Consider the following 20939-nt stretch of genomic DNA (forward strand, 5'->3'; position numbering starts at 1 on the left):
AGACACTTATCCCATAATCTATGATGTGCACTACTAATCACTGCAAAGTCCCATAACCCATCACCCCATCACAGCGACCAAGTGGTGAATGTGGCTCTTTTCTACCGACTTTGATAAATGTGCCCACCTTTATATTTAAGGAGCCCAGAAAACAAATTTCAATACCCCAGCACCAGTTTATGGTGCACTGGTTTGTGAATCAAAACCCTGAAAACAGTGCCACAAATATCAAAAAGAAAAGAGAAATGGTTTTCTGATAATTTCCTCATTCTAAGATAGCATAAGTTGATTTCTGTGACAATAAAGGTGAATGATAGTTCCCAAAATGTGTTGACTAGATGGATAATTTAGAGTTAAGTACTCATGTTAACAAATGTTTACTCCTACAGCTCACAGAAGAGAATATTTGGCAAAATCTTTCTTTGCTAATTACCTCAGTATTTTTTTTTTTTACTAGAAAACTCATGTCCGTACATTCCAGTAGGAAAGCACTCCCAAGTAGCCAGATATTTAATGTTTATAAAAACAACAATCATGATCCCAGTGTTTTCCAGTGAAAATACAATAGAGAGACAATTTTTTTAAAAAAAGTTCTCTATGTACCAGTTTGTTAATGTTTTCATCTTTGTGCATGCTGTTTTGATATTTAAAGTTTTCCAAGGGGTTTGGGGGATTTGCCAACTACTAAAAGTTTGCAGAAATGGTCTGAATACTATTTTTGTATAGAAGGAGCAACATCCCAGGTTAATTTTGGTGTCTCTGACCTAAGAAAATTGTTCTCTCTGGTATCATCATGACTTTCATTGGTTATGATATCCTGAAGATCTGCTAAGAAAAATGAAGTAGGGGATACATAAAATAAATCCCTTTTAATACAAAGTGCTCAAACTATGATTTCCAAAGATGACAAAGCACCACTTGCAGGATGGCCTGAGGTTGGTAGATTTTGTGCAGTTGTTTCATTGAGGTCTGAGGCTAGAACACGAAAGCCCAGTGCTATCCAGAAAAGCCCTGGACTATCACAGCCTGCTTTATAAGCAGATAAAGAGTCAATAGCTATTGATTCTGGGTGGTAAAATCACTGATGTTTGAAGGCTTTTCTTTTGACTTACTACTATTTACTGAAGTTAGAATGAAACTTTTTTATTTCTTAACTCATTCGTTTATTTAATAAGCACCTCGTGAGCTCTAGAGCATTTTTGCCAACATCTACTGACTACGTTCTATGTGCCAGGCCCTTGGCTAAGAATTTCAGGTGTATTGTCAGATTTATTACTAACTGCAACCCTATTAAGTCTTATTGTTATTTCCACTTTAATAATCAGGAAACGGAGTCACAGAGAGATTGAATAACTTTCCTAGTGTCACAAGATAGTAAGTGGGGGAGTGGATTTTAAGTTGGGAGCCAGCTCCCAGCAGAATCATGGGGCAAGGCACCTGGTAGTTCTGATAGGCCATGCCACCAGTGGTGGAACTGCAGTGTGACATATTGGGCCTGTGTTGGCTACTGGGAATATAAGATTCATGGAGCTCAGAGGCCAGTTGAGTGGAGGTGGGGGGTGGGTGCGACGTGGGGTAGAAATAAGGAACAGCCCAGTAAACAGTCACAATCCAAGGCTTACCCCCCATCTCTTCCCTTTCCCAACTCCTTAGCTTTCAGATCTCAGGTCAAAGGTCAACTTCTCAGAACTGATCACCCTAGCATTTATTGCTATTGGGAATGTTATTATTTGTTTACTTCTTTGTGGCCCACTCCCTCATTAGAACGACAGCTCCTATTCACTGCTGTCAATGCCCAGCACCTAGCACATGCCTCGTACAGAGAAGGTTCTTAAACATATCCATTGAATACAGCAACAACTGTAACAGAGGCACGCTAAGGGGGTGTAAGAGCCCCCTCACGCTTCAGGGAAATGTGGATACATCAGAAGCCCTCACAGAACAGCTGAGTTAGGTCTTGAAGGATGAGTAATGGTTTTCCAGATAAACAAAGGAGCAAGGATAGGTATGCTGGGCAAAGGAAACAGCATGTGTGAAAGTAGAGATGAGAAAGGACAAGTGAGCCGCAGGTATTCTACGTGGCTGAAGTAAAAACAAGTACAAGAAAGTGGGAAGACTCATTTCAGAGAGATTTATTCAGTGATTAATGGCACTGGGGTAGGTATAAGAGACACAGAGTAACAAAACCAAGCAGAGTCCTTGATGTTACGAAGTTTATAGTCTAGCAGAAGAGACAGATGTGAAACAAATAAACATGAAAGTAAACATAACTCTAAATTGTGACAAGTGCTCTGAAGGAAATGGACTGACCACTGTAGGACAGAACAACATTTAGCTGGGGGCTTCAGGGAGGGTCTCTCTGATGAAGTTACTCTTAATTCTTCCAACAGCTCTGCAGAACAATAACCATTTCAGAGGTAAGAAAACAGAGGTTCAACAGCTCACCAAGGCCCAAAAATCTAATAAAGTGGCAGAACCAGGGTGCAAATTGAGGTTATTTGGCTCCAAGGCCAGTGCTTATTCTGTTGCAACAGCAGCACCTAGGGTGGGAGTAGAGCCCTGCATATGGTCAGAACGGATTTCTCTTTACCACTCAGGTAGCCAAGTATGTACCCTATGTCCAAGAGGCCTGAGGGAACCTTTTGATTCCAAAATATACAGCACGTAATTTGCCTCTCTTTGACTATATCATGTCCTTGGACAGTTTTTCATTGTTGTTTCACAAGCTAGCTATAAAACCTGTAATGTGGTCTAGTCTCAAGTTCGGTTCTAGCCTTACTACCTAGTAGATGTTTGACATCGGGATCACATTTAACTTTTCTGAGTCTCAGCGTCCTTACCTGGACAATGGGGAGGTTGATTATTTGTCCTGTCTACTTCATGAGATTGGTCTGTGGCTCAAGTGAGATGACAGATGTAAGGGACTTTGCACTACATAAATGTCATGATTTATTTGATATTTCCCCAATCCATCCTACAGTTGTGTAGTTGCTATAAAATGAAAAGACTTGAAAGAATTTCGAAAAATAAAAAACTCTGGGCAAATGATAGCATTATATAAATACTTAGTCATTATGTCACTGCTAGAGTCTTGAACTGCCTACTCTCTATCAGTGATCATAAACTTCTAGTCTGTACCTGGGCTGATAGGGCTGTAAATGTAATGTATCATTACTACCTTCATTAGAGGCTGTTGACACATTACAATGGTATTTATTGAACCTTGAAAAGGGATAAATTATGCAAGACTAATTCCTAACTCCAATGCAATTTTAATATACTTTTTAATGTGCTAAGTGCAACTAATGAAGAAAGTTAAATTTTAAAAAAGGTACACAAATTAAAAGCTGTAGTTCAGTAACTTGTGTGTTGATGAAGGGTATACACTAACCCCCTAATAGTCATTCCCATAGACATACAAATGACAGAGTGATTAAAAGACTTAAGCACACATGCACTTAATTTTGACCAAGAAATTCCATTTCTAGGAATCTACTCTGACAATATACCTCTAATAGTACAAAATTACTTCCGTATATACAAGTTTATTTATTGGAGCACTGATTGTAATTGCAAAATGATGGTAACAGCCTAAATATCCATACATAGGAGAGTGCTCGAATAACTATGCTATAACCACACAACTGAATAATACTATGCCACTCTAAAAATATGAATAAGGAAAATCCCTAGGAATTAATTTGGAATGATTTTCAAATCATTAAGTAAAACAAAAGCAGAGGCCAAAAGAGTTTATATGATGTGCTACCACCCTTCGTAAAAAGCACAAGGGAATATAATAAAATACATATTAATCTGCTCATCTGTGCACAAGTAACAGGAGAAGCATAAACCAGAAACCACAAAATACTGTGTAACTATAAAGGTTGGTAAAAAATAAAGAAGCAGGCACGAGATGTGGGGGTGGGGTTGTGAGGAAGAAGAGAGAGAAGAAAAGATACTTCTTGTAATAGCTCTTTTTATATAGCTTTGACTCTCTGAACCATAATAATGCTTTACACACTTCCCAAAATAAAAAAAAAATGTGTAAGAATCTGAAGAGGAATACAAACAGTAACAAATGAACCCAAATAAACAGCATAACCCAGATGAATAATATAACTATGCCAAAGGGGATAGGAATTAAAAATGAATTTAAGTCACTTTGGAAACATGATGTTGACTGTATAAGAGGAAAACCAAAAAGAACTGTAAGCAAACAAATACTGTACTATAGCAAGTAAATTTGTCACAGGAGTATGAGTTAGGAATTCAGTAACTACTCTGTGTAATCTAGGATTGTAAATAATGACAGCTAGTGTTTTCATTGTTAGTGAAACAAGTTACAAATAAGAAAATAGGAGAGGCACACACATACACAGATACATAGATAGCTACAGAAGTGAGTAATAAGTATTGTGTATGTGTATTCCTGGTTTAGTATACATACATCTATTTCTTAGCTCTTTCTGCTGGGAGGAACTGAGGGCAACGGCACCCTAGCAGCACTCAGATCTTGGTTTCTAAATATCATTCTCCAGTGAAAGGAATCAGAGCTTCATAGAGAAATCAGCCATTTCGTAGAGAAATGGCTGATTCCAGGACTGGAGCAGGGAAAGTACAAGATGAGTCTGGAACATCTAGTGGTATCAGAAAAAGAAAAGCTTTTAAAACAATGGGGGCATTTCAAAAGGACACAGGATCCAATCAGAAGAAGCTGCCAGTGACCAAAGCTGGAACAATCTGAGCATCAAAATAAATAATGATAGTATGGATTATAGTTCATAAAGTAAGTATCCACAAGTCCATACTGATACAAATAATCAGATAAATATAAACATATTAACATTATATATACTCCCTGATCACTTCTACAATATTCTTGCCAAGATGAATAACTTCAATGTACTTAGAAGAAAACATCACACAAATCCAAAGTGAAAAACATTCTACAAATTATTTCACTAGTCCTCATCAAAAGGGTCAAGGTAATGAAATACAAAAAAAAAAAAAGGAACAAGGAACTGTTACAAATTGGAGGAAACTAGGGTGACATGACAACTAAACACCATGTGGGGTCCTGAGTTAGATACTAGAACAGACAAATCAGGGAAAACTAGTTAAATTTAAATAAGACCTGTAGTTCACTTAATTTAATTGTTTCAGTGTTAATTTCCTGGTTTTGATAAGCGTATTGTGGTTGTAGAGGTTGTTAAAGTTAGAGGTAGCTGGGTGAAGAGCATACGTGAACTCTACTATTTTTGTAACTTTTCTGTAATTCTAAAATGATTTCAAAACAAGGAGTAAAAAAAGTATGGATAAGCTAAGAATAGATAACAAAGTGAATGAATTAAGTAGAGGACTACAATTTTCTAAGTGACAACATTTTCACAATGGAACCTCGGATATATAAATGTGAGAACTAAAAATACATTTCCTCCTCAATAGAAGGAAGATTAGTCATACAAGCGCATTAACAAGCGACCTGCATGTGCCGTTTTGTCCTTTCCAGTTCTATCTTCTGCTATGGATCTATGTACCTGTAATAAAATCAGAAGAAAAGCCCTAGTGCTTGAAAGAATTAGGGTTAAAATTTAACAGTAGGATTAACATCTTTCATGTAATACTTCGATAAAAGCCATTTGCAAAGAAATTTCTTGGCACGGTTACAAAGAGATAAATATGAAACGTGCTCTTCTTTGTAGAAGCCACAGAAGCTCCAAAAACAAAGAAATGACACTTTCAGAATCATTTGTTGCATTCATGGTCCCTGCGAAGGCTCCCTCCACCCCGCAGGGACTACAGGGATGGTTCCTAACTCAGGCTGTTCAGGAGAATCACAGGTGCCTATTCAAAGTACAGACGCCTGAGTCCCACCCCTGGAGAATCTGATTCCGGAGAAGCTATAAAAGTTTCTGTGATCCTGATGTGCAGCTAGGGCTGAGAACCACTGGAACAGAATAACCTACAGCTTGGGCAAAGTCAGTCAAGTGAAAACAAAAGAGCTCCCTTTTAAGGATATAAATAGCTAATGTGTTCTGACACTTTAAAACAGTTTGGTCTCTCAAACGGTAGTTACTTTGTATATAATCCAATACTTTTAAATCTCTTTACTTCTAATTAATGTCCTTTCCATCCATTTTTATACATTATTATATTCTTCCTATTATCTATAGTAAACTGTACACTGACCACACTCTAAAACATTTTTCCAGATAGTTCTTTTTTTGCAATATTTTGTAAACATTTTCCTTTTCTTCATTGTACTTATTTTATATTTCTAATGTAGCACTTACCAGAGTTTGTTTCATGTTAAAATTATTTATCAACATGTTTGTCTTCCCCATTAGATTGTAAAATCCTTGAAGCAGTGAATATGGAGTGTGTTTTATCTAGGACCTCTGAATGTCTGAAAATCAAGTGTCACTCATTTTTCATAGTTTTAATTAACTTTCTGGAAGCATAACTAACTGTAGAAAGTTGCACATGTCTGAAGGGTACACCTTGATGAATTTTAGTAAAGTTCACACAGCTGTGTGACAGTTTCCAGGCTGAGAAACAGAGCAAGCCCAGCACGCCTGCGGTCTTTCATCCCCACTTCAGTCACTTCTATTCTCCCAACAAGGATAATCATTATCTTGACTTCCAATCACACACATTACCATTCCTGTTTTGAACTTTATATAGAGTCAAACACCAAACATTCTTCTGGGTTTTTAGCTGCCCATTATGCATGTGAGATCCATCCACGTTGTTATGTATACTGGTAGTGTTATGTATACTGGTATCATTTCTCAATGCTGTATAATGTTTCATTCTGCTGATGGACATCTGGGTGGTTTCCGCCTTGGGGCTATTACAGATAATGCTGCTGTGAACTTTCGCATACATGTCTTTGTGTGGACATATGTTTTCATTTCATGTGGGTAATTGCCTATGAGTGGACTTTCTGGGTCACATGGTAAGTGTTACGTTTAACTTTATTAAAAAAACTGCTAAAGTGTTTTCCCAAAGTGGTTGTACCATTTCACATTCCCACCAGTATGTATGTAAGGTTCCAGTTTCCCTTGCATTCTTGGTACTTGGTAATGTGTCTCTCTTGGATTACAGCTGTTCTAGTGGGTACGTAGTAGTACCTTCTCGTGGGTTTTAATTTCCATTTCCCTAAGGATTAATGGTATTGTGTATCTTTATCATGGTGCCACACTTTAAAAAAATTTCTAGCAGAGTGCCTCTACCCTTGTAATACTTAGTAGATATCTATTACATTAAATTAATGATGGGAAGGCACATAATTTTTCTATTATTAGATTACAGCAAATAATAGCTTTCTAAACACCAGATAATTTCCCATGTAATCTGAAGACGTGAAACTTAAGTAAATTCAGGAATAAATAAGGTTATAGAAAATGTTGCAAATGCTCAATTGTTTGTGAAAATTTTAAAGATGGTGGAGCACTTTTTATTTAGAAACTCTGAATCCCTGAAAATCAAGTGGAAAAACACAAATAATAAAAATGATTGCCCATCAATGGTAGATAACATTAGAGACTAAAAATTTGAATTGTGCTAGCATTTTCAAGCAGCTGTACACAGGGGCATTCGTTTTATATAACTCTGCTTACTGAATTCAGAAGAGCAACACGTAGGTATTGTCTGACTCACAAAGGGAGCAAGCTAGCTGTGGCCCTTGACCTTTCTGGGAAGAGGCTCTCCTGCCCTGTAACTCCTGAAATGGTAATGCAAGCCTTATTTATAGGTTGCATCTGCTTTCCTTCCTATGAGATGAACAAGTTGGTGGAAAAGTCAGTTCAAGTGAAGAATTTTTTAAACAAATGTCTTAAGCAGCAGCAGCAGCGAGGATAAGCATTTATCCCTTGCCCCTTCTTATTTATTTTTATTTTGAAAACAGACAAAAATTTGATTGAGTATGTAGAAATGATTCCTATCATGTGACTTCCAAAAATGTCAAAAACAAGGGGCATATTTAGAACTAACATATATTTAACAGGAACCTGATCCACTGCTCTGGTTTTCAGTGGTGCTGTATTTGGTGGGAACCAACCCTTTGAGTAGAATGTTAGGTTCCCCTGACAATCCCCCTATTAAATTTTAAAATTAAAGATGAGGAAGAAAAAGAACCTTACAACTGTAACATTCGCTGAGAACCTAAAGTCCCTGGTTCAATGATTCTTTTTTATTCCAGCCTGCATAAATACATATATTACTTATCAAAGAATTATGTATCCTTTCCAAAATCCTGACATTACATTAGATTTCCTCACTTTATGAGAAGTGAATTCTGGGTTTAAATATGTTAGTTTGCAGAGATGGGAAAGTACATTAGTGTCTCTGTCATACATCTGCCTTGTCCAACTCCCTAAACTGAGTTTTTCAGACCACTGTAAAGACCGAATGTCAGTTTTAAGCTGGTCTCAGATTAAAAAAAAAAAAAACTGTCTGAAGCTGGGCATGGTGGTTCATGCCTATAATCCCTGTACTTTGGGGGGTCAAGGCAGGCAGATTGCTTGAGGCCCGGAGTTCAAGACCAGCCTGGGCAACATGGCAAAACTTCATCTCTACAAAAAATAAAAAAAAATAAGCTGGGTGTGGTGATGTGCACCTGTGGTCCCAACTATTGGGGAGGCTGAGGCGGGAGGACTGCTTGGGCCTGGGAGGTGGAGGTTGCATTGAGCCAAGATCACACCACTACACTCCAGCCTGGGAGAAAGAGTGAGACCTTGTCTTAGGAAAAAAAAAAAAAAATTGTCTAACCTACTATGTATCAGAGTAGGATGTGATTTCAGTGAACACCACTTAAACACACCAAGGTTGGTGAAAACATACATGTTGTCAGGCTGACCAATAAACATTGTAAAAGTATTTTGATAGTGAAGCAAAGGAAAACAGAGGAAAAGGGAAGAACATGGGGGATAATGGCAGAGTGAATAGATTATCTTTTCTTTCATTCGACAAATACAAATTGAGTACCCACTATGTGTCAGGCAAATGTTTCAGTGGTTGGGGATAAAAAGATCAAATTCCTGGTCTTGTGGAGCTTGTATTCTGAATACAAATAAATAAATAGACTATATAATTTTTCAGATGGCAATAATTCTTTGGAGAAAAATAAAGCAGAGACCAGGATGAGAGTGTTGCAGTTTTAATGAAGTCTGCTAGGGAAGGCCTCACGAAGAAAGTGACATTTGACAAAAACCTGAAACGGTGGGGGAGTAATCCATAAAGATATCCATGGGAAAGGCTTTCCATGCAGAGAAAACCTAGTGCCAAGCCATGAGGTAGGAAGACTGCTGGTTTGTTCCAAAACGATGGAGTGCCGTTGAGATGAGAAACAGGGAGTTAATGGAAAAGAGGGTGGAAAGATAACCTTGTAGGCCATTTTTAGCAATATTGGCTTTCACTCTAAATAAAATGGGAAGCGACTGAAATATTTGGGGCACAGGAGTGATATAATTTAAGTTAAACTTTCAACGAATTGCTCCAGCTTCTGGGTTGAGAACAGACTGTAAGGAGGTAAGAACAGAAGCAGGAAGACCAATAAGGAGGCCATTGCAATTATCCAAGCAAGAAGTGATAATGGATTGGCCTAGGGCTGCATAATAGAGATGGAGAGAAGGGGTTGAATTTTGAATCAATTTTAAAGATAGGACCAACAGCATATGCTCATAGATTGAATGTGGAGTGAGAAAAAGAGGACTCAAGGATGTAAAAAGAAAAAAAAATTTTCTTGGCTCTTAGATTTTGAAGGAATTTCTTACATGGAATTTTACATAGTTGCTCTTTGTGTCCTTGTGTGTCTAAGTGTCCTTGGATTAGTAGGAATACACTGATTTCTTCTACTGCATATAAACTCCACTGAAGGGGCAAAGACCACTCTTATTAATCTTTGCGTCATCATTGACTAGCTGAGTCTTTCTTATTATTCAATATACATTTGTTTAAATAGAGATACTCTTCAACTTACGATGGGGTTATGTCCCAATAAACCCATCGTAAGTTGAAAATATCGTAACTTGAAAGTGCATTTAATATACCCAACCTACAGAACATCGTAACTTAGCCTAGCCCACCTTAAATGTGCTCAGACATTTACATCAGCCTACAGTTGGGCAAAATCATCTAACACAAAGCCCATTTTATAATAAAGTTATTGAATATCTCATATAATTTATTGAATACTATACTGAAAGGAAAAAACAAAATGGCTGTATGAGAACTCTAAGTACCGTCTCTACTGAATGTGTATTGCTTTCACACCATCATAAAATTGAAAAATCATAACTCAAACCAATATAAGCTAGGGGCTGTCTATGTGTACATATTAGTTATCACAATTATAAGCACTTAGGGGAAAAATCAGAAAGGGGTCTTGTTTAAAGAGTTCACACTTATTCTTTTATTCTAAAAATATTTATTGGGTAGCTACAAGTATGTCAATCACTGTGATGATTGTGTCACTGAGATGTCTTTGCTTGGGGGAGATTACAGGTAATACATATTTTTCCTTACATGTTTGTGTATTTAAAATTTTTCAACATTATGCAAGTTTTATTTTTACAAAGTAAAAAGAAAAACATTTTTAAAAGGCTTCTACTGAATAGATCACTTAATTTTCCCAGAGTAAAACTAAGAACTTGACATTTCCTACAGTGAGTTTTCTTTCTAATCCAGTGCTCCCCAAGGCAAACAAAGCTATTTACTGGTGCCAAAATCCAACACCTAAAATCATGTAAAATTATGTGGAAAAAAAAGCATAAAGCTATTTACAAACTAAAACTAAACATGGAAAATGTAGCACAATTGTTTCTCCCTAACTGCAACCAGTACAGTTGTAACTCAGAGGCTGTTGTCTGGAGTGTGGATTAGTGTAGATATTTGCAATGATTTTTGCTATGGGCATTTCTGCCTTAAGAAAGGCAAAGGAAACAAAAACATGAAATTCAAAACATTTCCAGTTTTGATAGTTTAGTAGAGAACTAGATTAGAATACAGCAAATAATACATTTTCTATATTCTGTTTTCGATATTCTCTATTATCTTCCTATCAATGGCCTCTTCCATTCCCAGTTTGCTGTCTAATATACCTGTCTATCTCTCAAGTCCAGCAATTATTTCAATTCAAAAATCCAGCAATGGGACTTGTGGGTATCATTGTCAGGGTTAGGAACTAATGAAAAAGTAGGGGACACAATCAAAGGAATGGGAGGTAGAAAAAGAAAGCACAAGAGGAAGTAACAAAGCAGGGAGGGAAAGGAAAGACATTGAGAGAAAACAGTTGAGGTGCATAGAATAAACAGGATGGATGCTACAGAAGGGAGAGGCCTGGTTCTGGATCTGCTCATCTGGGAGCTTAAACCATGCACAAAAGCACACTGCTCACATGTGCACACACATATACATACACAAATATACACACACATTTATCCCTAGGCCCTAACCCACAGGTAGATTCAGCATGAAGCTAATGAAGGTTGAGCTTCAGGGTTTATCACTTACATGGACCTATACATTAGAAGGGCCTAGAAGTGTGTTCACATGGTAATATGTTTTGAAAAGTCTGTAAAAACAAGATACTGTTGTATTCTTTTTCTTAATGAGAGCTTACATATTATATAATCCTCAGGCACTACAAAATCTTGAATCTGTCCCTGACCCAAAACCAACAATATTCTGATTCCAGTGGGTTTGGGGATAAATGCTGTCTTCTTTTATTTTTTTATTTTTTCTTAAATGTCACCAAGTGATTTTGATACATAGCTAGGTTTGGAAATCACTGATGAAGGACTACAGACTGATCACTTTAATGAGTCTCTGACACCTAGGTGGTATTTCTTTCTGGAGTTTTGCCACCATTGATTGCGACATAAACCATATAACAGTATGCAGTTTGGAAAAAGCTGACAATTGGCAACATTCACTTCCACATTGCAGTGATGAATCACATAACCCTCTGTGCCGAGTAATTAACTAACCATTTGTATGTACTGGCTGTAGCGATATAGTTCTTTCCAACGAGGAAGGAAGGGAATTTGGACATAACATTAACAGTTGTTAATACCAAGCAAATAGAGTAAATTAGATTTATTAAAAAGAGTATGTGTGTGGATTTTTCCCTAGGAGTTGATATAATTTGCCTAGCTTTCTAATTATAGCTGGGACAGAAAATGGCTGAACCCAAAGACCTCTCACGGTATCTAATAAACTTTTACTTACAGGGAGAACATTTCTTGGGTTGAAGAATGACAAATAATTTACTAAGCTTTTCCTGAAAGATAGCTAAAGGTGTTTCACCTATATCCAGCTGATGAATTAGCTTTAGCTAATAATCAGTGTCATGAGACAGGGAAGAAGCAGCCTGTAATTACTTTGAAAGGAATGAAGGAACAGATCTGATAAAGAAACTAAATCAGCTAATTCCTCTAGTGGCATACTGAGTGGGAGAGAAGCTTACTCTACTGCAAGTTTTAAAGTGAGGCAAAGATGGGGGACATTGGTGGTTTTTACCTGCCTGACATCAATTCTCATTTTCTCACAACAAACCCTCAATTTTCCTTTCCATAGGATGCAGTTTGGGGCATATGATGCAAGATTCCCTGCCTTCTTCAGGCCGGGGGTAGGCATGTGTTCCAAACCTGACTAACCATTCTCAGTTGCAAATAATCTGAATCCTGCCTGCAATGACTTAAGAAGAAAACCAGCTGGAGCTGATCCATCCTGGGGGACATTATATATAAATCTCACTCTTATATATAATTATACATGTGTGAGATTTATACATAAATCTCATTCATATATATAATTACACATGCTTTTAAAAATGTATTTGTTTTTACATAAATTTAATCAAAATAAAGAGACTGAATTGCAACTATAAGAATCAGAATTTCAGCTATTTCTTTACCATAAAATATAATAATTTTTAAAAGAATTTACATCAATTAAGACAAAATTTTATGAAACCTTTAATAATTTGGAGTCATTTAAAAAATTCTGCACTTTAAATTCAGACAGAATCTCTTAGGAATCAGTTCTAGGAAAGATGAGAAAACTGGCAGGCACTTCTCCCTTTTCCCTCTTCCTCCTTTTATTTTTGTTAGCAATATTATTATTTTTATATTATCAGGTTTTAATGTTTCTGTCTTTTGTAACCACAATTCTCATGGTTGTTTTCCTCTGGTTCTACACTTAGCATACTTTTATCCACAATTTTTTTAAGTTCTTGAGATCTTTATTGTGATTAATCTCTGGTGGCTAGATACTACCTTTAAGAATTTTTTTTTAAAGAAAGATTCATCATATATTCCCTAAGTTCTTGTATGCTTGAGGAAGACTGGTACCCTCATGCCTGGGAAGGAACAACATGGCTAAATAGTAAATTTTGGGATCATCTTAATTTTACCTTCGAGGCTTTATAGATAGGTGCATCAGTTTGCTGCAAAGAAGCCTAAGTCCAACATGATTTCTTACCCTTCTTATGTATCTAGCTTTTAATGTCTGAAGCTGTATTCTTCCTTTGTATCTTAGGTCAATACCTTTATCAGGACATGTTTTCATTGTTCTGTAGCAATTTATTTAACTGGAACTTCACAAGCTCTTTTAATTTTTATAGATTCAAAACCCTTTAGACACAAGATCCACAAGCATCACTCCTGTTCTGTTGGTCTCACTTCACTCCCCATCCCCGCTTTTCTGCAAATGATGCTCTCAAATAAAATGCAAGTTAATAGGTATTGTAAATGATTCTATGTTTGTTCCTTTCAGATTGTTTCTTCTTTGATTGACCGGGGTTGGTTATCTGTTGGGAATATGGGGAAGTGATTAATGAGCTAGAGCTGTCTGTGTGTCCAGTGTTGTTACCAAAAACCTATTATTTCCTTTATGCAGGCACACATTTCCTCCCAGGTTTCTATGTTCAAGAGGTTACATGGTATTAATAACAATGATTTACGTCGTTTTTGTGTTGAATTCTGGCACTTTCTCTCTGTCATCCTCTTTTGCCCCCTTCACTTCTGGCAATCTCCTCCATTTGGAGGCAAGGTGACAGACAATGTAGATGGCTCATCAACATGGTCTGTCCATTGGATCCCTCTTCCCTGACATTTTTGGGGTGTGAAACTGGGACTCTTTAAAGATATTCTCACCTCTTCAGGGACTGGTATACTACTGGACAGTCATGACTGTAAAAAAGAATTGCTGGATGTGCCTTTCTGGATGGGGATACTCACTTGTATGTTAACCAGAAGTATCCCGCATCATTATTTCGTTTAAGAATTATGAAGTTAAAGAGAGTCAATAACGTTGAGAAATTATGCAATGAACTATTAAACTTTAGGTTAATTTGACTAATATTTGTTGTATGATTACTTCATGCAAAATAACAAAGGAGATTAAAAAAAAAGATGAGTAAAAGAAAGTCCTTGTCTTCACTTTCAGTGTGGCAGGAGAATAAATAAAATAGAAGATACTTATATTATTATGACTGTGCAAATACTGTTCACTGCTGAGCCAACTAGAAGGTGAGTATTGTGAGTATCCACTTAAAATACTGTGTGACACTACTCATCTCCACCTGAGCAGTACATCTCTCAGTAAATTGCACATCATAGTAAAAAGTGATCTCTTGCAGTTCTTGTCTATTTTTTTATCATGTTTAATGCAATACTGTAAACCAGGAATAACATCATGGGACATATACAACATGCCACTAGTGTTGCTGAAAATGCTCCCAAGAAGCAGAGAAAAGCCATGACATTACAAGAAAAAGTTGAATTGCTTGATACATACTATAGACTGAGGTCTGCAGCTGCAGTTGCCTGCCATACCAGAATAAATGAATCCAACGTAAAGACCATTGAAAATAAGAAAAGAGAATTTGTGAAGCTGTCATTGCAGCTAGGCCAGCAGGCATGAAAATTTGGCATTTTTTTTGTGAAATACTACACATTTTTATCTCGTATTGAAAATATAGCTTTTATGTGGGTACAGGATTACTTTAAGAAAGGCATACCTATAGACTTTAGTATAATTTAAGAAAAAAGTGAAGTCATTACAGTAAATGACAAATTAAAGCAAAAGGAAGATGAAGGATCTAAATATGGTGAATTTAATGCCAGCAAAAGATGGTTTGATAATTTTAGAAAGTGGTTTGGCCTAAAAAAATACTAAGATAATAGGAGAAGCAGCTTCTGTCAACCAAGAGGCGGCAGAGTTCCCAGATGTCATTAAGAAAATCATACCAGAGAAAGGATATCTGTCTGAACAGATTTTTAATGTAGATGAAAGTGCCCTATTCTGGAAAAAAATGCCACAAAAAATTTTATTAGTAAGGAAAAGAAGCAAGCACTAAGATTTAAGGCAGGAAGAGATAGGCTAACTCTGTTTTGTGCAAATGTAGTTGAATTCATGATCAAGATTGCCCTTATCTATAAAGCTGCTAACCCATGAGCCTTGAAAGGAAAAGATGAATACCAGCTGCCAGTCTTTTGGTTGTACAGCAAGAAAGCCTGGATAATGACAACCCTTTTTCTGGACTGGATCCTTGGATGCTTTGTCCCTGAAGTCGAGAAGCACCTTGCCAGGAAGAAACTGCCTTTTAAAGTTCTTTTGATATTGGACAATGCCCCCGGCCACCCAGAACTCCATGAGTTTAACACCAAAGGCATCAAAATGTCTACTTGCCTCCAAATGCAATGTCTCTAATTCAACCTCTAGATCAGGAAATTGCAAGGACCTTTAAGGTTCATTACACATGGTACTTTTTGAAAAGAATTATCAATGCTGTGAAAGAGAACCCAGATACAACATGTAACAGTCTGGAAGCATGACACCATTGAAGATGCCATTCTTATTATTAAAAAAAAAAAGCTGTGAAAACAATCACTGCTGGAGAAAACTGTCCAGATGTGCATGACTTCACAGGATTTATGACAGGGCCAATCAAGAAAATCAGGAATGAGATTGTGGATATGATAAAAAAGAAAGAAAGAAAGAAAGAAAAAGAAAGTGAGGGGTAGAGGATTTCAAGATGAGGATCTGATCTTGGGGAAATTCAAGAACTAATAGACACTACACCAGAGCAATTAACAGAAATGAAGATAAGTAGTACTTCTGAACCAATGCCAGATGATGAGGATGAAGATGTAGAAGAAGCTGTGAAGGAAACAAATAGACATTAGACAATCTGGCAGAAGGGTTCCCATTACTCAAGACGGTTTTGGACTTTTTTTTCTTTTTTAATGACTTGGACCCTTCTATGAAGTGGGCACTGAAACTAAAGCAAATGGTGGAAGAAGAATTGGTACCATAAACACTTTTAGTGAAAAAGGAAAACAGACAACAATTATGCTGTATTTCTGTAAAGTTACACTGAGTGTAGCTGCCTCTCCTGCCTCCTCTTACCTGTACTCCACCTCTTCCTCCTCTGCCACCCCTGAGACAGAAAGACCAGCCCCTCCTTGTAAGCCTACTCAATGTGAAGATGATTAGAATGATGACCTTTATGATGATTCATTTCCACTTAATGAATAATAAATATATTTTCTCTTCCTTATGATTTTGTTATTAACATTTTTTATTATTATATTTTACAGGTTTGTTACATAGGTATACATGTGCCATGGTGGTTTGCTGCACCCATCAACCCGTCATCTACATTAGGTATTTCTCCTAATGCTACCCCTACCCTAGCCTCCACCTCGCAACAGGCCCCGGTGTGTGATGTTCCCCTCCCTGTTTCCATGTGTTCTCATTGTTCAACTCCCACTTACGAGTGAGAACATGTGGTGTTTGCTTTTCTGTTCCTGTGATAGTTTGCTGAGAAGATGGTTTCCAACTTCATCCATGTCCCTGCAAAGGACATGAACTCGTCCTTTTTTATGGCTGCATAGTATTCCATGGTGTGTATGTGCCACATTTTCTTTATCCAGTCTATCATTGATGGGCATTTGGGTTCCAAGTCTTTGCTATCGTGAACAGTGCTGCAATAAACACACATGTGCATGTGTCTTTATAATAGAATGATTTATATTCCTTTGGGTATATACCCAGTAATGGGACTGCTGGATCAAGTGGTATTTCTGGTTCTAGATCTTTGAGGAATTGCCATACTGACTTCCACAATGGTTGAACTAGTTTACACTCACTCCCACCAACAGTGTAAAAGTGTTCCTATTTCTCCACATCCTCTCCAGCATCTGCTGTTTCCTCACTTTTTAATGATCGCCATTCTAACTGGCATGAGATGGTATCTCATTGTGGTTTTGATTTGCATTTCTCTAATGACTTTTCTCTATTTACTTCATTGTAAGAACACAGTGTACAATACATATAACATAAAAATATGTGTTAACTGGCTGTTCATGTTATCGGTAAGCATTCTGATCAACAGTAGGCCATCAGTAGTTAACTTGGGGGGAATCAAAGAGTTGTAAGGGCTGGGCTCACACCTGTAATCCCAGCACTCCAGGAGGCCGAGGCGAGAGGGACAGCCTGAGGCCAGGAGTTGGAGACCAGCCTGCGCAAATAGTGAGACCCTCCCTGTCTCTACAAAACTTTAAAAGGTGTGATGGCAGGCATCTGTAGTCCCAGCTACTTGGGAAGGCTGGTGTGGGAGGATCACCTGAGCCCAGGAGTTCAAGGCTGCAGTGAGTTATGATTGCTGCACTGCACTCCAGTCCTCTTAAAAGAAGATTTTTGATTACATGGGAAGTTGGTGCCCCTACACATTGTTCAAAGGTCACTGTACTTAAATTTAGGTTATTCCATACGAATGAATGGATGATTTTCTAAACGTAAGTTGTATACATCTAGATGTACTTTATCAACTGGAGAACTGTATTTACCATTGAGTAATATAATATTTAAAATTAAATCCTGAGGAGGGGGAGTGAGGGTTGAAAAAATACCTGTTGGGTCTAATATTCACTATTCAGGTGATGGGTACACTAAAAGCCCATACTTCACCACCCAGCACATGCATTTTAAGAAATCTGTACTTGTACCCCCTAAATATTAAAAAAAGTAAATTTTGGACACTTGAAACTTTTCCAAATAGTCTCAAGAAATAGTTTCTATAATTTGAATCTTTCCTTTATAACATATTTGAAACATTTTTTTCTGATGTAACCAGCACCTTACATACACTAAATATTTTTATTTCAAGATATATGAAAACAAACAAGTAAACACCTGATATTTTTTGTAAAAGAGTATTTTCAGTAAGGATTGGTTTTGCTAAAATAAGTTTATTAACAAGACTTGATTCAGTTGGTCTTTTAGTAAGGTTAATTCCACTTGGTTTAATTGAAGCAAATCTTGATGAAATAGTATTATGCTTCCATTTACTTCTTTCTATCATCTACCCACAATATATGTAATAGTGATTACATTCAGCCAACTATTTTTCAGGTCAAGAGAGATGTCTTCAAGAAAACAGACTATGATTGACAGTTCTCCCAAATCAGTAATATCATAAATATTTATATATACAGTTATAAACAAACTATTAGTTTAAGAAATGCAATTTATCCTTGGTGATAATAGCTTTGAAGGTTAAAAGGCAGAATTTAACATTTTAGTTCTCTAAAATCTTATGCTTTCAACAACAACAAACTGTTCTAACTAAAGAATATCAGACAATGTAGTTCTCTCTCTACTGATTACATTTTTTTAGATATGCTTATAACTACTATGTGCTTAAAAATTATTTGTGTGCATTAAATGCATTACTTGGCAGAACTCTTCAGACAACAAGTAATGAAAGATTTCAAATAAAATTCCATTCCCAAAAGCTTCTACTTAAGTAGTTTGAATTTATTGAAGCTCCTAATATAGTAAAATCTACTGAATTTTAGGTGACAATCTCTTTTTAAAGCGAACCCTATAAAAGGAGCAAGTTGCATCCACAGAGAACTAACAAAGTGCAATGTACTTAATTTCTTGAACAGATTTTATTAGATGCTAAATATAGTAAGCCTCTCCAGAGACAGTATTACATTTCAGGGGATTAGAGGATTTGTAAAACCACTGTCTGCTCATAATGGAGGGCTTATCAACTGAAAAATATTTTTAATGATTTTACTGAGTATATCATCACATCCATGAACATAAGCTGCATTTAAGACTGCAATGAAGCATGATCTAGTGTTTTGATCGCTTTTATAAGAGTTACATAATATTTGTAACGATTCTTCAGTATACTATAAATTTTCTTAACCTGGATAAAGCACTGTTTCATTTATTTGGTATTGTGGAAAAGAAAGAGTTCCATATAAGTGAAATAAACACATAGCACAATCTTACTACTTTACAGTGGGTTACTTCATGTGAAATTGACACTTTTGTGGGTCAAAAATTGTTAAATACGGACAATTTCAAATGGCTCAGCTTATACACCAAAGGTTTCTCATTTTATTAATAACTACTTTGGGTAGAAATAGTTCTGGAAATTTTTACTTTCTTGATTATCTTTTAAAATAGCCTTTATTAGATCTAGGCAAACTTTTACTTAATGATAATGATTTCACTCTGCTGTAGTAAGAAGCTGTGCTCAGAACTACTGAAGAGATCGTTACTAAACCCCAATGCCTAACGGGCCCATGTAGGTAAAGGCAACAGGTGAAGGTGCTTTAATACATTATTTTGACAGGGACACACTTTGTTTGCACATAACACACAGAAATATACTTCTCCTCCGTAAAGACATGCACTTGCTCCCTTTCTGTATCTGCCACTCATTCCTCTAGGCCTGCCTTCCTATTGCTCGCTTTTGATGGTGACTCAGATGTAATAAGTACATTGTTCGGTTTCTTTTCAGCCAGAGTATTTTCAAAAACACACAAAGATAAATGGCAACCAACACTGGGCCTCCGAGTTGGGGAGATAATGGGGAAAGGTAGGCACTGGGAATACTGAAATGCCCTCCGTGAAAGTGGGGGCTGTGGTAAACTGGAACCACATACAGTGCAGTCAGTTTAAATTCCCAAGAACGAATACCTTTTAGGAATGTAGCTGCAGTGTTGCTAGATCTTGAATTCTTCAAGAGAGACTTGAAATAGACTTTTAAAAATGTGAATTACCTGATATTTAACTGCTAGCAACCAAAACAAGACAAAAGAAAAACACCGTGTAGAGGAACATCGTGAGAGCTAAACGAAACCAGTTTGTGAGCTGAATATGGCCCATGGAGTTTGGAATCTCTGTTCTAATTGTTTCCGTACTATGCTGTGGTTTTTTAGTTTTTCTGTGTATTTCTCTCTCTTCCCTTGTTTTCATAGCTGTTTTTCAGCAGTTCCGAAGTTAGCTGGATACTTTGAGAAATCAGATCATCACACTTGTCACAACAGTATATAAAGTTGGAATTAATAGGTTTATATGGGAGGAAAGGACAAGAGATTTCTCTGAAATGATTTAATTTATTGATACATTAAATCAATAAATTAATTTATCCAATACATCATCACAGCAGGTTTTTAAAGAAATATTTATTACTGGCAATCTACTAATGCAGCTCAGAGTATCAGAGACACAGGTAAGAAAGAGCAGTTGCCATGTGTTATTATCCTACCACAGCATTCCTTTATTAGGGTAGGAGTTGCGGCGGTCAAAATTGTTAACACTGCAAGATTTCAAACAGGTAAATTCGGATTATCCCTCAGACTTAAGCAAAGCATGGGTATCTCAGAGGCTGTTCTCCTCCTTCTGTTAAGTAAAGCAGCTACCTGAAGATGATGTACTCTTGGAGACCATCTAAAAATATCTTTTAGTACTTTCTTCCCATCTGCCTTTATTTATTTTTTAAAAGTTCTTATTATGGAAATTTAAAAACAAAAGTACAAGAGATTTTATGCATGCACTTTGTGGTATCTATTTTAATTGCACAAAGTGTTTTTTTTTTTAATAACTTGCAGGCTTTTGGTTCA

The 20939-nt window shown here is 36.7% G+C and overlaps 1 protein-coding gene across 2 annotated transcripts in view; it reads right to left on the reverse strand.

Annotated features, from left to right (window-relative positions):
• FBXL17 (F-box and leucine rich repeat protein 17) overlaps positions 1–20939 on the reverse strand; it is a 523064-nt gene that overhangs the window by 22881 nt on the left and 479244 nt on the right. The gene's annotated exons all lie outside the window — the stretch shown is intronic.

The sequence above is a fragment of the Homo sapiens genome, chromosome 5 (genome assembly GCF_000001405.40).
Source record: "Homo sapiens chromosome 5, GRCh38.p14 Primary Assembly".
NCBI classification, from domain to species: Eukaryota; Metazoa; Chordata; class Mammalia; order Primates; family Hominidae; genus Homo; species Homo sapiens.